Source organism: Homo sapiens, chromosome 15, assembly GCF_000001405.40.
Source record: "Homo sapiens chromosome 15, GRCh38.p14 Primary Assembly".
Taxonomy (NCBI): domain Eukaryota; kingdom Metazoa; phylum Chordata; class Mammalia; order Primates; family Hominidae; genus Homo; species Homo sapiens.
In genome coordinates this window covers 33,194,102-33,209,476 of record NC_000015.10, presented here as the reverse complement: position 1 = coordinate 33,209,476, position 15,375 = coordinate 33,194,102, and the positions used below count along the sequence as shown (strand labels likewise).

The window sequence follows — 15,375 nt, the reverse complement described above, 5'->3', positions numbered from 1 at the left end:
CCCTCTGAATCTCTGGGTTATAGCCATAGCGTTAGATAGTGTAATACATTGGAGTCTTATCCATTTGTTGGATTTACACAGACTCTTTCAGCTTTTTTTTTTTTTGAGACGGAGTCTCGCTCTGTCACCCAGGCTGGAGTGTGGTGGCGCGATCTCAGCTCACTGCAAACTCCACCCCCTGGGTTCATGCCATTCTCCTGCCTCAGCCTCCCGAGTAGCAGGGACTACAGGCATCCACCACCACGCCTGGCTAATTTTTTTGTATTTTTAGTAGAGACAGCGTTTCACCGTGTTGGCCAGGATGGTCTCGATCTCCTGACCTCGTGATCCGCCCGCCTCGGCCTCCCAAAGTGCTGGGATTACAGGCGTGAGCCACTGCGCCCAGCCTTTCAGCTTATTTAAGTAAAGAATTGCTACTTCTTAAAAGCTACGTTTAAATTTAAGATACAAGTTCTTGTCTTGGTTCTGCCACTAGAACTTTGAAAAAACCAATTATCTTTTTTTGGGAACTCATCATCTACATATGATTCCAGATTATGACTTTTATGCATGTACTTAGATGCAATAAAATGAGAAGCAAAGGGACGAAATTATTCAGAAGACTGCCAGTGACAGAACTGAAGAGCTTAATATGGCAAAGAAAGCAGAAATGGAGAGATCAGCAGCCCTTTATGTAGGCATATAATCTTTATATGTCTAATGCTGGGATCACAGAGAGTGTCTGTGGACTATATATGCACTGGCCTTTCATCCTCAATAAATCTCACTTTACCAGCTAGACACACTCACTCACTCACACTCACACACACAGACCATAACCAGTTCTGGTTTTAAAATGGATATATAGGTGTCTTATTATCCAGGATAACAGTGTACCTGATTGGCTATGTGTGAGTGGCATTTTAAAATTATTATTCGAATCATTTAAAATATACCACTACAGCTCCTTAATTTATGGTAATTCTTAATTATTTTTGAATCATAGAATTCTTTGAGAACCTAATAAAAAGCTATGGGTGCCAGGCATGGTGGCTCACATTTGTTATCCCAGTACTTTGGGAGGCTGAGGCAGGTGGATTGCTTGAACCCAGGAGTTCGAGACCAGCCTGGACAACATGGCAAAACCTCATCTCTACAGAAAATACAAAGATTAGCCAGGCATGGTGGCATGAGCCTGTATTCCCAGCTACTTGGGAGGCTGAGGTGGACGGATGGCTTGAGCTTAAGAGGTTGAGGCCTCAGTGAGCCATGATTGCACCACTGCACTCCAGCCTAAGGACACAGGCATAATATTCTACATTATAATTTCAGGAAATTTATAGACATTGCTGAGGGAGAACCTTAAAGGCTCCAAGTCAAAAATTGCTGGAAAATGTACTGTGGGGTGAATACTTTTATCAGGTGAGTAATCCCATAATCAATCCTCTGACATAAGTATGTTTACAGGGGTTGAAACTCAAATGTCTATGGGGTTCAGGTGGGAAATCTAAATGAGTGGCTCAGAAAGGACATAAGGCAATATAACAGGAAGTGGAGGGACTATGGAAACCTGGTGAGCTCATGCTGCTTGCAAAGGTAGCTGCTGCTTAGCTACAACTATCCATTGGCATGTCGACTCAGTATCGCCAGAATTTAGATTTTTTATAGAAAGATAAAAATCTAGGCAGTGGCTCGTGTCTGTAATTCCAGCACTTGGGGAGGCTGAGGTGGGTGGATCACCTGAGGTCAGGAGTTCAAGACCAGCTTGGCCAACATGGCGAAATCCTGTCTGTACTAAAAAATACAAAAATTAGCTGGGCATGGTGGTAGGCACCTGTGATCCTATCTACTTGGGAGGCTGAGGCAGGAGAATCGCTTGAACCTGGGAGGTGGAAGTTGCAGTGACCCAAGATCGTGCTACTGAACTCCAGCCTGGGTGACAGAGCAAGACTCTGTCTCAAAAAAAAAGAGATAAAAATCTAGATTTTATTACATTTCCTGATTTTTAGTAGACCCTGTAAGCAAATAATACATGACTGGCTACCGTTCCCCCTACAATATTTTATTATAAAAATTTTCAAATGTACAGAAAAGAAGAAAAAATATACAATGAGTACCCGTGTCCTTACTACCTACTTTCTGTAGAAAATATTTAGCTATGTTTTCTCTATCAAATATCTATCCATCCCTGTGCCCATCCATCAGTCCATCCTAATTTTTTCAATGTGAGATGTAGACATCAGAACACTTCTGAAGCAGTTCTGGCTGTCAATTTTTGTTCTCCTTTGACACCTATTTTCATTTATCTGTGCATTTGTGTGTGCATGCACGCACTCATGTATATGTTTTAAATGAAGCTGATGTTCAGATTTACACATTGTGGGGTGTGAACTGGTTAGCCAGTAACACTGCTGTGGATAGGACTGATCCCTGATGGTGTTATATAAAAATTGTCATGGGATGCCAGTGAAGTGGATAACAGTGAGAATGCCTTAAGAATTCAGTATCCAGCTGGATGCGGTGACTCACGCCTATAATCCCAGCACTTTGGGAGGCCGAGGCGGGCGGATCACGAGGTCAGGAGTTCGAGACAAGCCTGGCCAATATGGTGAAACCCCGTCTCTACTGAAAACACAAATATTAGCTGGATGTGGTGGTACGTGCCTGTAGTCCCAGCTACTCAGGAGGCTGAGGCAGAAGAATCGCTTGAACCTGGGAGGCGGAGCTTGCAGTGAGCCGAGATCATGCCACTGCACAACAACCTGGGTGACAGAGTGAGACTCCACCTTGGAAAAAAAAAAGAATTCAGAATCCATTTTTAGCCTAGATTCAAATCAGGGAGTTATTCTTTCTGTCTAAGGTTGCAGAATAAAAGCCCTCTCATGGCCACAAAAACAATGCAGAACACTGAATGAAAGGAACACAAAGGGGAAGAACTCAGTAGTCACTGATCAGATAACAGTGTGCAGATTAAGGAGATAGAGAGGGATGCGGGTCTGAAGGGCCACACAATCAGACGAACTGTTATCATGGTAATTAGTGTCAAATATTTCACTGACCATGTTGGAGGAGAGCAAAGTCTCCACTAAATAGCACAATAAATGCACAAAATAAAAGTAAAATTTATATAATCATATGCTAATAGTCTCTTCACGTATTGTGCCAAGCAGATGCTAAGTGCTTTGCCACATTTTGATTTTTTTTTTTTTCTCGACACAGAGTTTCGCTTTTGTTGTCCAGGCTGGAGTGCAGTGGTGCAATCTCGGCTCACTGCAATCTCCACCTCCTGGGTTCAAGCAATTCTCCTGGCTCAGCCTCCTGAGTAGCTGGGATAACACGCGCCCGCCACCACGCCTGGCTAACTTTTTGTATTTTTAGTAGAGACGGGGTTTCACCATGTTGGCCAGGCTGGTCTCGGACTCCTGACCTCAGGTGATCCACTCCCCTTGGCCTCCCAAAATGCTGGGATTACAGGCATGAGCCACCATGCCTGGCCTGAATATTTTCTTTTTTCTTTTCTTTTCTTTTTTTTTTTTCTGAGATGGAGTCTTGCTCTGTCACCCAGGCTGGAGTGCAATGGCGTGATCATGGCTCACTGCAACCTCTGCCTCCCAGGTTCAAGCAATTCTCCCGCCTCAACCTCCCAAGTAGCTGGGATTACAGGCAGCTTTCACCATGCCCGGCTAATTTTTTTGTATTTTTAGTGGAGACAGGGTTTCACCATGTTGGCCAGGCTGGTCTGGAACTCCTGACCTCATGATCTGCCTGCCTCAGCCTCCCAAAGTGCTGCGATTACAGGCATGAGCCACTGTGTCTGACCGGCCTGAATATTTTCTAAAAAAAGAAAATTCAAATTATGAGTTAGGCACAAGTGAGGAAATTGAGGTTTAGAGAGATCTTGTATCTCAAAACTTACACTGTTAGGATGTGGCAGAAGTTAAGACATAAACCCTGGTTTCAAACATATTCTCCTTACCACACAATTATACTGTGAATATTCTAGGACTTTTTAATATTGGAAACAAGAGCCTTGGTAACAAGATAGGACTACGACCAACTACAAAATTTGTGGGTCCTGGTATAAAATGAAAGCGTGAGGCCCCTTGCTCAAAAAAAATTTCAAGATGGCAACATTAAACAAAGTGTGGAGCCCTTCTATGCTCGGGGCCCGTGTGACTGCACAGGTTGCATGCCCCTGAAGCTGGACTTGGATATGCCATTACAACATGGAACTGAGACCCACAGAAGGTCATCTACAGAACATGAGCAGGACAAAAGGGGAGGCCTCTGCGAAGACCACAATAAAGAACATGTGATAGCTCTGCCCGCCTCTTTAGTGAGCTGGACCTGGAAATTTACATAGGAAATATACTGTATGTGTGGTTTGTGGCATACAGATTAGATAGTAAAATGAATGTCAAACTCAATGCTGGTGTGCTTTGTGCTTTCAGTCTTTCTCGACATCATTTCATCAAGTTCTCAAGCTAAATAAACAACTACTTCAGTGGTGTTGCAGCAAGTTCTCTGGGCTGAATCCCTTCTGACCATTGTTGTGAAGATTCTGGTGTCCCAGTGCCTGAAAATAGGTAAACCTCCCTGCCCCACTTCCACACCTCCCCAATGCTCCTCACAGATGCAGCTTTTGCCAGCCTTCTTGTGTGATTTCAGTCCCAGGGGATGTCATTTATACCACATAGGACTTATGCATAAATCTTTGCAACCTGCACACACCCTCAATCACAGTCCTGATTTCTGGTGATCAAAAACCCATTTGTGCATAAGGGACTTAAGGATAGATGGGAGGCCAGTGAGTCTTTCCACCTGATGCATGCAAAGGTACAGAGCTCTGGCTAGGCATAATGTTGAGGCTGTCAAACCTCAGTCCACCTCTCTGCTGCCTCACCTTCCCAATAGTTGCCCCTTTTCCCTTGACATGAAGCCTCCTCATAGGTCCCTAGTTTGGGTCCCACCACTCATTACCTCCTTCATATTGATCCATTTCCTGTCAAGCCCAGATCTGACCCTTTTCTCTCATCTCAAACAGTCTTAGCAGACTTTTCTCTTTCCCTCAGCACTGTACTATGTGATTTGCCAGGAGGAAATGAATCTCATGCATTAATTTGAATTAAGGCTAATGGCTGACACTAATTTGATGAATTGCTCACATATTTTAATGCCTTCATTTAGGGATGAGTAATAAGGGACCATTACATACCTAGGCTGAGCCTTTGCAAGAGATGTTTCCAACAGTGGGACTATTCCACTCACATGAGCAATATTGTACTTATTTCACTGATAAGAAAACTCCTGCTTTCTCTGTGAAGCAAGTGAGAAAACAATGGGTGATAAATATTTGTTCACTGTTAAATGGAAACTTAAATGATACACTTTTTGCTTATCAAATGTTTAATTTATGTGGGCTGGGTGGAGGGGCTTACGCCTGTAATCCCAGCACTTTGAGAGGCCGAGGTGGGCTGACCACCTGAGGTCAGGAGTTTGAGACCAGCCTGGCTAACATGGTGAAACCCCGTCTCTACTAAAAATAACAAAAATTAGCCAGGCATGGTGGTGGGCGCCTGTAATCCCAGCCACTTGGGAGGCTGAGGCAGGAGAATCAGTTGAACCCGGGAGTTGGAGGTTGCAGTGAGCCAAGATTGTCCCATTGTACTCCAGCCTGGGTGACAGAGCAAGACTCCATCTCAAAACAAACAAACAAACCTGCAAGTGTTTAATTTAAAAAAAGATAATGAGTGCTACTGGAAGTGAAGTGAAAGTGACATTCTTATATAGTGCAAGAGTATAAACTGGCACATACTAGAGGAAAATTTGGCAGTTTGATGGCAATGTTAAACTATAATACATGCACATACAGACATGTATACACATATATACATATATGGTATGTATACACATTTATACACATACACATATGCTCATATATACACATAAGTAAAATATCTGGGGCCAGACACAGTGATTCACACCTGTAATCCCAGCTCTTTGGGAGGCCAAGGCAGGAGGCTTACTTCAGGCCAGGAGTTTGAGACCAGCCCGCACAACATAGTGAGACCCTGTCTCAACAAAAAACTAAAAACTTAGTTGGGCGTGGCAGCTGGTAGTTCCCAGCTACATGGGAGGCTGAAACAGGAGGATCACTTGAGCTCAGTTTGAGTGAACTGTGATCGCACCATTGCACTCCAGCCTGGGTGACAGAGTGAGACCTTATCTTTAAAATAAATAAATAAAATATCTGAAGTACAAAGGACATCGATGAAGGCTGACAGTGCCTTTTAAAGATGGTCTGCTCCTGTCTACCTCTCCAGGCTTATGTCTTCTTTCCTTCCAGCTCTTGTTAGTCTATTCACACTGGATTCTCTCAGTTCTTCAACACACCTCATGCTCCCTCCTTCCAGGGAGCTTCTGCATGATAGTCTTTCTACCTGGGTGGCTCTTCAACTCGCTTCTGACTAATTCCTCAGATGTCAGTTTAGGGTTACCTCCTCAGGAAGCCTTCTCAGACTGCTACTCCCTTCTCCCGATCCCCTGAGTCTGGCTAGATTCCTTTAATTTTAATTTTATTTATTTTTTGAGACGGAGTCTCGCTCTGTTGCCCAGGCTGGAGTGCAGTGGCACGATATCAGCTCACTGCACCCTCCGCATCCTGGGTTCAAGCGATTCTCCCTGCCTCAGCCTCCTGAGTAGCTGGCATTACAGGCACCCGCCACCATGCCTGGCTAATTTTTGTATTTTTAGTAGAGGCAGGGTTTCACCATGTTGGCCAGGCTAGTCTCGAACTCCTGACCTAAGATGATCCACCTGCCTCAGCCTCCCAAAGTGCTGGAATTACAGGCGTGAGCCACCGGGCCTAGACTAGATTCCTTTATAATCTGCTTTTAGAGACACATTACCTTCCCTGTGGTGTTTAGCCGAGGAAATGGTGATCCTCTCCTTTGTGAGATTGTATTATCTGCCTCCTTTCATGACTATAAGTTCAAAGAGAGCAGGTTTGTGCTTATCTCTCCATCCCCAGTGCCTTGAAAAGGGCCTGGTAATAATTAGAAGGGGCTCCAGAAATACTTGCTGATTACATAAATGAATAATCAATTTTTATTTTCTCCTTTGTGCTTTCCAGTATTTTTTCAAATTATAATGCTCATGTGATACTTGTATAATTTGTAGAATTGTTTAAAATTTTACTTGTATAATTTGTATAATTGTTTAAAAAGATGTTCAAAAAAAAAAGAAAGGAAAGCTTTTCCTTTCTGTTGGAGGCTGCAGCTGTTCTCTGCAGAGCCTGCTACCTTTGGCTCGGATTCCTCTGACTGCTACGGTTCCAGCTAGTTCATGCTATGGAACATGATTGTGCTGCACTGTCTCAAATTCTGCCCCCTCTGGGGAGATTCTTCCTCAGCATTACCTTTGGGTTGTTCACAAAGCAGGTGACTCAGAAGCCTGCTGTTCTTTGTTTCCTGCCCTCAGGGATGCAGCCTGGTGGCTTTTGTGACTCAGCAAATGACCCGTGGACAAAGCGGCACACCAAGCCCGTCTTGCCAGCTAGTGACAAGTCAGTAGCATTGTACTGAGTACAAGTCCTGCTGCAGTGTCTGAGAATATATCTCTCGGCATGAACCCCTCACATTCTTCTCCTCTCTACTCCCCAATATTCAAGAGAACTATAATCATTATGACTTTTCCTGTTGAGTCAAATCTAAGCCTTTTCAGAAAATCTGAGTGATTTCAAGTTTCAGTTTCAGATTCAAGTTCTTGCTTTCTTTGTACAAAACGACAGCATAAAGGCAATTATGGTTGTAGCTAAGTGAGAGTAATTTCTCCATATGGTGCTTCAGGTGGCATTTAAGATATTTTTAAGACTTCTGTAGGCAAGTTAAAAAAATCCTGTTAGTCTGCAAACATTTCATCAGCCTCCACAACGTTCACCTACGTGTTGCAATGTTTCAAAGATAATTTGTCATTTCAAATCCTTTTTGGAATGAGCTGGGAAATAAATAAGTATGGATGATGCATCAGAGAGAATGAGTCCCTCAATCTGAAGAGGTATTATTCTGGCGGTATGAGGATTTTAATTGCTATTTAAGTTCTGACTTTTCCACGGACTGATCTACCTTTCCCCAGGTTATGAACCCATGTTGAGTGACAATGTAGCAGCATCAAACACTTGTTTTTCTGTATCTGAGATCCCTGGATCTGTTGCAGAGATCGCCATTTTGATGCCATTAAGTATTTTTCAGGGAATTTGGGGGTGAGTAGTAGCTATTCATCGATAGAATATCATCCATATTAGGACAAATGTGGCAGCCGGCAAGTTGCACTTATCCGGGCGTTGAGAGGAAAAGCTGATTACATAGCCCAGGGCAAATGGGGTGGAAACATCTTGGAGATTAGGTTTACTCCCTGTGTCCTACATTTCAGAGGGATGTAATCATTGGTTTCATGTTTAACGTTTTCCACGGATGGCCCTTCCCTCTCATAGATTGTCTTGGGGTTGAAATAAATGCAAAATCTATTTTAGAGAATGTTACATGTGTAAATTTAGCTCAGAGCAAAGAACATTAACATCAGTGGTCCTGTGACTGGTGCTTTGGGATAACTTCATCATTCCCCTTCAGTGACAGAAGGAGAAACTGAGGTCTAGATTGGTTAAGGTGATTTGGGTTGCGCCACATAATTAGTAGGTGGGATTTTGAAATGTTGAGCTCTTTCTAGAAGTGTTTGTTATGCCCTCATTCCTGTGAGAGCAAGGTCTGTCTCTGTGAGGGGGCAAAGTCCATTTCCCTGGGATTGCTCTCTGGAATGCTGTTCATATCACTGCCCCTTTTATCCTCCCACTATTCACTCCTGGTATCGAATCCCATTTTCACTCCGGCTTTTAGCTAGTCTCTCTGACATCCACACGCCAGTTCTAACAAATTCCCTTTCCTTGACATCAGCTCTTAAGTAAAAGAAACTCCTTGCTTCTGACTGGTCACATAATGGGAAGGTGAAACCCTAAAGCCACAGATGATGTCACCTGCCACATCTCATGTCTTTTCTTCGCCCCAGCTTGGAGTCCTTTCAAATGGAGCCGCCAGAATGTATTCTTTCTCTGCATCTTGTTTCTCTGCTTCTTTTTTGATCACTTCTTCTGATTTTCTAGGTCACACACTGAAGTCATCCACCCACCATAGGGAGGGACAGTGATTTAACTAAACAAAGTAGATCACTCCTTATATGCAAGGTATTAGGGGGAATGAAAAGGTAAACCTCAGACAATTCTTTCCTTCAAGTTGCTTTGAATCCAGGGTAGAAAGCAAATATGTCTGCAGCCCTTTATGGGGGCAATGGGGTAAGAGAAGTACAAACAACATGCTACAGAAGCACAGAACTGGAAATGAACTGAAAGGGAATGAGGGAAGGCTTCACGGAGGAAGTGGCATTTGACTTGCAGTTTAATGCTGGAAAGACCTATACATCTTGTTCTTTAAAAGGAAGCACTTACTGGTTGAACTATGACCTCTGGGGCTTTCATTGACTGTAGGTCATAGCAGCAGGACTGGGAAGCTTCAGCTATATTATAGGATACATCTAGGGCAAAGCCTGGCTTAAGCCTCTCTTTCTCCTCTTCTGGTAGTAAAGGGATGGTTTAATCTTTTGAGAGAAGTTACAGTTAGTAATCTGTGGGCAGTAATACTTCTTGCTGTTGGAGGTAATGCTCCTATGTGTGAATATGTGTATTGCAGATGTCCCCATCCCCTCTGCCCGCCTCCTGCTCCTGTCTCTTCTGCCTCTTCTCCACTCCTGTGCAGTCCAGGGTCGGAAGCAAGCCTCTTTGGGCAGAAAGCTGCTGGAGTTATTAAATGCATTTCTCCCAGGTTAAACAGCCCTCAAACTTTAGTGCCTAGGAATCGCTTAGGGGTAGTTTATTAAAATGCAGTTTGAATTCAGGACGTCTGGGGTGAACCTGAGATTTTGCATTTCCAATAAGCAAGTGAGCTCAATTCTGCTGGTCTTCCCACCATACTTGGGTGTGATCTTCACTAACTAATTTTACTAAACATGAACTAAGGGGCAAAGAAAACAGCGTAGGGATTGCTTTGGGAAAAACTCTCTCAACCCACCTTTTTCCTCTGCTCTCACATCATCACAACGAACATCAACACAGAAGCCTTCTGTGACCAAAGGTGTGGGGGTTTTTCTCCCCGACATGAAGCAGTATACACCAGCTGGGTGTCCTCCAATTCAGTTCTGACACTATGTACCTGGAGACAGAGTCAGAGTCCCCAGGTTGAGGACTCAGTCCCACAAGACCACCCTCTCCATGACCCACCAGTTGTAAGTCGGGTTTCCTCCGGAACTTCTGACCAACCAGCTTCAAGCTGGGGTTCCCACGACTCCCTCTCTGGGTTTGATTAATTTGCTAGAGCAGCTCACAGAACTCAGAAACACACTTACCGGTTTATTAAGAAGGATATTTTAAAGAATACAAATAAACAGCCAGATGAAGAAATATATAGGGTGTGGGTCTGCAAGGGTCCCAAGCGTAGGAGCTTCTGTCCCCAGGAGTTGAGCGGTGCCATCCGCCCAGCACATGCGAGTTCTTCTTCACCTTCCTGTCAGCCTCCACAGGTTCAGCTCTCCAAAACCCATCCTCTTGGGTTTTTATGGAAGCTTCATGATGTCACCATTCCTTCCCCCAGTGTATAGGGTGGGATTCTCTGTGGGGAGGTTCTTAAGACCCACAATCAGAAAGGTGGAGAAGATTAGAGTCCTGCCTTGGGGCAGATAAGGAGAGGGCAGGAGAGAGATTCTGTTTCCTGAGGCCTGGCCCTGAGGCCTAACACACACAGCATTATAAAAAAACACCAACAATGGCTACGGGAGTTATGAGCCAGGAACACTGAATGAAAATTATATGTATTAATATACATTAAAATTAATTATATATGTATTATATATATTAAAATATATGTATATAATAACACAGGAATGAATGGGGAATCCCATGAAATCCTATTTACCCCTGGGGACTTCAAACGAGAATGTGTAAATAGTACCTTAAGCCCCAGGTAGGCAAGGACCATTATTTCCGTTTTCTTGGTTCCCTTTGATAAGCAAATTGACCAAATTTAGTAATTTCGAATTCATAGGCATTGTATCATCTACTTCACATGTTCCACAGAGGAATGCATTTCGGTAAGGATTATCAGAGACAGCTTTTTCTCTTAGGCAGGCAGTATGGTATATTGTGAAAATGTGGGCCTTGGCCGGGCTTGGTGGCTCATGCCTGTAATCCCAGCACTTTGGGAGGCTGAGGCGGGCAGATCACTGGGTCAGGAGTTTGAGACCAGCCTGGCCAACATGGTGAAATCCCATCTCTACTAAAAACACAAAAAATTAGCTGGGTAGGGCACCTGTAATCCCAGCTACTCAGGAGGCTGAGGCAGGAGAATCGCTTGAACCCAGGAGGCGGAGGTTGCAGTGAGCCGAGACTGCGCCACTGCACTCCAGCCTGGACAACAGAGACTCCGTCAAAAAAAAAAAAAAAAAAAAGGAAAGAAAGAAAATGTGGGCCTCCAGGTCAGAATGATTTGGGGTCAAGACTTTTTCTTAAACTTGCAACCTCAAGTGAGTCACTATCCTCTCTAGTCCGAGTTTCCTCAGCCTTGAGGTGGTGATAACACCTACCCTGCTGGGTGGTTGTGAAGATTAGTAATTTTGTTGATAAAGTGATCTCTTCAGGTATGGTCCAGATTGAGTGTTCTCAGCTAGGCTGTGCATTTCCATTAGGAAATGGGCTTTATTGAACTGGATATCCCTAGAGTCTAGTACAATAACATATATTAGGCACTTAGTAGCTGTTTATTTTTTCATTTTTTATTTTTTATTTTGAGACAGGATCTAGCTCTGTCACCCAGGCTGCAGTGCGAGGGCTTAAGTGATCCTCCTGCCTCGGCCTCTCGAGTACCTGGGACTACAGGCATGCACCACCACACCCAGCTAATTTTTTAACATTTATTTTTTGTAGAGATAGGGTCTCACTGTGTTGCCCAGTCTGGTCTCAAACTCCTGGGTCCATGCAATCCTCTCGGCCAGTAACTGTTTATTAAGCAAGGATCACATAAATACTCCACTAACAAGCTGGGCATGGTGGCTCACGCCTGTAATCCCAGCACTTTGGGAGGCCGAGGCGGGCAGATTGCTTGAGGTCAGGAGTTCGAGACCAGCCTGGACGACATGGTGAAACCCCATCTCTATTAAAAACACAAAAAATAGCCAGGCATGGTAGTGTATGCCTGTAGTCCCAGCTACTCAGGAGGCTGAGGCAGGAGAATCACTTGAACCTGAGAGACAGAGGTTGTAGTGAGCCGAGATTACACCAGTGTACTCCAGCCTGGGTGACAGAGTGAAATTGTCTCAAACAAAACAAAACAAAACAAAACAAAACAAAACAAAACAAAACTCCACTAACTTGTTAATTAGTGTATACCTTTGTATTGATCTATAACCTTTAACTTATTTATATTTTGTCTTTATTAATAGCCTCTTTGGGAAAATATTTTTCTTCTCCTTTCTCTTTAAAACACCTCCTACTCCCTCCCCCTACCAAGCTTAGAGCAAGTACATATTTCCAGGTTTGATTAAAGGCCAGAGTAGGATTTAGGAATTTCTTCAGAACACTGTTGAAACAATGCTGGAATATGACTTTGGATTAACATCCTTTTACCTTTCTAGGACTCAGCTCACACGACCATGATATTATTTTGTGGGTGGACTTTAAAAGATTTCTACATCAATTAAAACCTAGTTTGACTTAAGCCCTGCAAAATTTTACTTCCTTCCCAACAATAGGAAATCACAGCTCCCTTCTATGAGCAAAGTTGACTTGCAATTGCTCCTAACACATGTCAGAGGTGACACTTCACTCTTAAAGGTGCTTCTGAGGCTGCGGTTTCAAGAAGTCAGTAGTGTGAAAACTGGATCCCTATATGACAATTTTCAGGTAAAAAGAAAAAAGCATCAAGGAATTAAGAGTCGTACTGAGGGCTTCTTATTCTTCTAACTGATGATGATGATTTTTAGACAGGAGATATACGGACCTCGTATTGACTCTACTCCTAACTACGAACATGACCCAAGGACAATTACTTGAACTTTGGGAACCTCAGTTTTCTTATCTATAAGTGGAATTTACAAGGGGAAGATATGAGGATTGAAGGAGATAATGTATATGAAGTGCCTATGGAGCCGGGCACAGCACTTCACAACTGTAATCTCGGCATTTTGGGAGGCTGAGAAGGGAAGATCGCTTGAGCTTAGGAGTTTGAGACCAGCTTGGGCAATATGGTGAAACCCTGTCCCTACAAATAAAAAATTAAAAAATTAGCTGGACATGGTGGTGCCCGCCTGTAGTCCCAGGTACTTTGGAGGCTGAGTTGGGAGGATGGCTTTAGCCCACGGGGTTGAGGCTGCAGTGAGCCAAGATCGCACCACTGCACCCCAGCCTGGGTGACAGAGTGAGACCGTGTGTTAAAAAAACAAATAAATAAAGGGCCTATCAGTGTTTGGCTAATATTGTGATTAAGAATAAATCAGAGTTCCAATAAACTATTATTTCTAGAAAAAAAATAGTGAAAAAAATCACCTTAAAAATACCTTCCAAATTTTTTTCCCATTTACTTATTTGAAAACAGAATCTATTCAGGACAAAATTCTATCTTCAAGTACCAAATGGGTGATACAGTTCGCATTTATCCAAAAGCAGATTAAAGACAATGCCTTTTCTTGCCTACCTACTTGGAAAAGATCTCAGTGTCACTCAAATCACATTCCAAATCTCAACGACATTAAGGCCTCAAATCCTCTTAGGAAAGGTTTGAAGGTAGTTCATTTCAGTAATGATTAGACACTTGGGGACAAAACAGTACCTTGGCATCAAGGTCTGTACTGATTCACCAGCACAGAAATAGCAGTAACAAGATCTTCAACTCTGAGGTGTTCAAATAAGCAGACAAACTCCCTCGTGAGGCCCAGGCCTCTTGACATCCGGACTCAGTCTTTCTTTCTCAGATCGCCAAGGGTCTGGCCCATTTCTCAGCCTAAACCTATTTTGCGTTTAATTCAAACCAGTCAAAGTAACTTAACCGCCAGCAGTTAAAAAGCTACTAGGAGGAAGCGTAGGCAGGAGATGGGAGAGGAAAAGGCTCCTGTCAGGGTTTGGGCTTATGTGTGGATTCTTGAATTCTCCTTCTTTGTTCCTTTTAGCACTTACGATCAAGAACGGCTAGGCTGAGGGGGCAGGGGGGCCAGGCCACTGGAGCGAAACGGCCTCTCCGGATCTGGAGGCGTGGGAACCTCGGGAATAGTGGGGAGTTCCAGACCAGTTCCCTTCCCCCATCTGAACAAGTCCAGAGCGTGCGCCTTGAGAGGCGCTCGGAAACAGGGAAGCTGGGGACACGTAGCGAGAGACTGGTTGTCGCCCTGGCTGTCCGTCTTAGACCTAGCTTAGCGACCACCGCCTTCAATCCCTCAGCCCGGATCAGACGGTGCCAAAAGACAGCACTGCTTCCCAGCCTGGCCCAACGGCTCGGCTGCTGATTGGGCACCGCCGCCTCCCGCCCCGCCTCCCCTGCCACCTCGGGCGCCGCTGCACGTTTCCACTGGTCTTCAGCCCTGCCGATCAGTTTACTGCTCACCTCCCCCAAACAGCTCGTCAGGCCGGCGCGTGCTAGGAAGGCGGGGCCTGTGGCCTGTGGGGCGGAGCCTCGGTGGAGGTCGGCGCAGCTGCCCCTTTGGGCTTTGGCTCTGGACTGGAGCGCAGCATCCTTCGAGGCTGCAGCCGCCACGGCTGTTGCCGTAAGCAATCCTCCTGCCTCAGCCTCCCGAGTAGCTGGGACTCGGGACCAGCCTCCCGAGTATTGGTCAGGTAAAGAGAGTCTTGTCTGTTCTGCTGGCCATCTGCCCGTCTCTTCTTCCCGACCAAAGGCTGCCTGCTCCGCCTTCCCCCGTGGCTTTCAGGGTTCTTGGAATGAGGCATCAAGTCTATTTACCCCGCCAGCTTATCTTCCTCCCCTTCTGTGTCGGTTCCTCCAGCTCCCCCACCAAGCTGCTCCCAAGTACGTTGGTGGGCCCTCCGGGTCATCCCAACGCTCCTCACTACAGAACTCCTGTCGTTGACTCTCAGGTCCCAGCCCCCTTGACCCGCCAGTGCAGTCTCATTCCCAGCTTGGCACAGGAAAGGTGGAGGGCGGGAGGGCGGGAGGGCGGGGGACGGAGAGATGCAGAGCTTTTTTTTTTTTTTTTTTTTTTTTTTGAAGCTGGATGTGTTTAGCGCAGAGGGGGAGCACCACAATGGGATTGCATTGGGAACAGAAGCAGCTTCATGACTATGGTTGGCAATGA

The 15,375-nt window shown here is 44.7% G+C and overlaps 1 protein-coding gene and 1 long non-coding RNA gene across 5 annotated transcripts in view, besides 3 other annotated features; one reads left to right on the top strand and one right to left on the bottom strand.

Moving 5' to 3' along the window:
* Positions 1-4,928: 4,928 nt before the first annotated feature.
* On the bottom strand, positions 4,929-14,566 carry LOC105370759 (uncharacterized). 2 transcript variants are annotated; one of them, XR_932090.3, is made up of 3 exons: positions 13,902-14,566; positions 10,095-10,235; positions 4,929-5,295 (listed from the first exon to the last, which is right to left on the bottom strand). It is a non-coding gene; the product is annotated as an uncharacterized LOC105370759 (long non-coding RNA). The 2 variants fall into 2 exon arrangements; XR_001751475.2 differs by lacking the exon at positions 4,929-5,295 and adding an exon at positions 9,482-9,624.
* Positions 7,414-7,733: an enhancer, noted in NCBI's record as "active region_9168". NCBI's record gives its function as "activates an Ori minimal core promoter by ATAC-STARR-seq in GM12878 lymphoblastoid cells {active_cell/tissue: GM12878}" and the evidence as "EXISTENCE:reporter gene assay evidence [ECO:0000049][PMID:35858748]".
* Positions 14,445-14,784: a silencer, noted in NCBI's record as "fragment chr15:33486894-33487233 (GRCh37/hg19 assembly coordinates)". NCBI's record gives its function as "represses an EF-1alpha promoter that drives an FKBP-Casp9 reporter gene in an ReSE screen in HepG2 liver carcinoma cells {active_cell/tissue: HepG2}" and the evidence as "EXISTENCE:reporter gene assay evidence [ECO:0000049][PMID:32094911]".
* Positions 14,461-14,670: a silencer, noted in NCBI's record as "silent region_6270". NCBI's record gives its function as "represses an Ori minimal core promoter by ATAC-STARR-seq in GM12878 lymphoblastoid cells {active_cell/tissue: GM12878}" and the evidence as "EXISTENCE:reporter gene assay evidence [ECO:0000049][PMID:35858748]".
* FMN1 (formin 1) overlaps positions 14,763-15,375 on the top strand; it is a 429,171-nt gene continuing 428,558 nt past the window's right edge. For all 3 annotated transcript variants that reach the window (XM_011521509.4, NM_001277313.2, NM_001277314.2), the window contains exon 1: positions 14,763-14,899. The gene's annotated coding sequence lies outside the window, so the exon portion shown is untranslated. The remainder of the gene's footprint in view (positions 14,900-15,375) is intronic.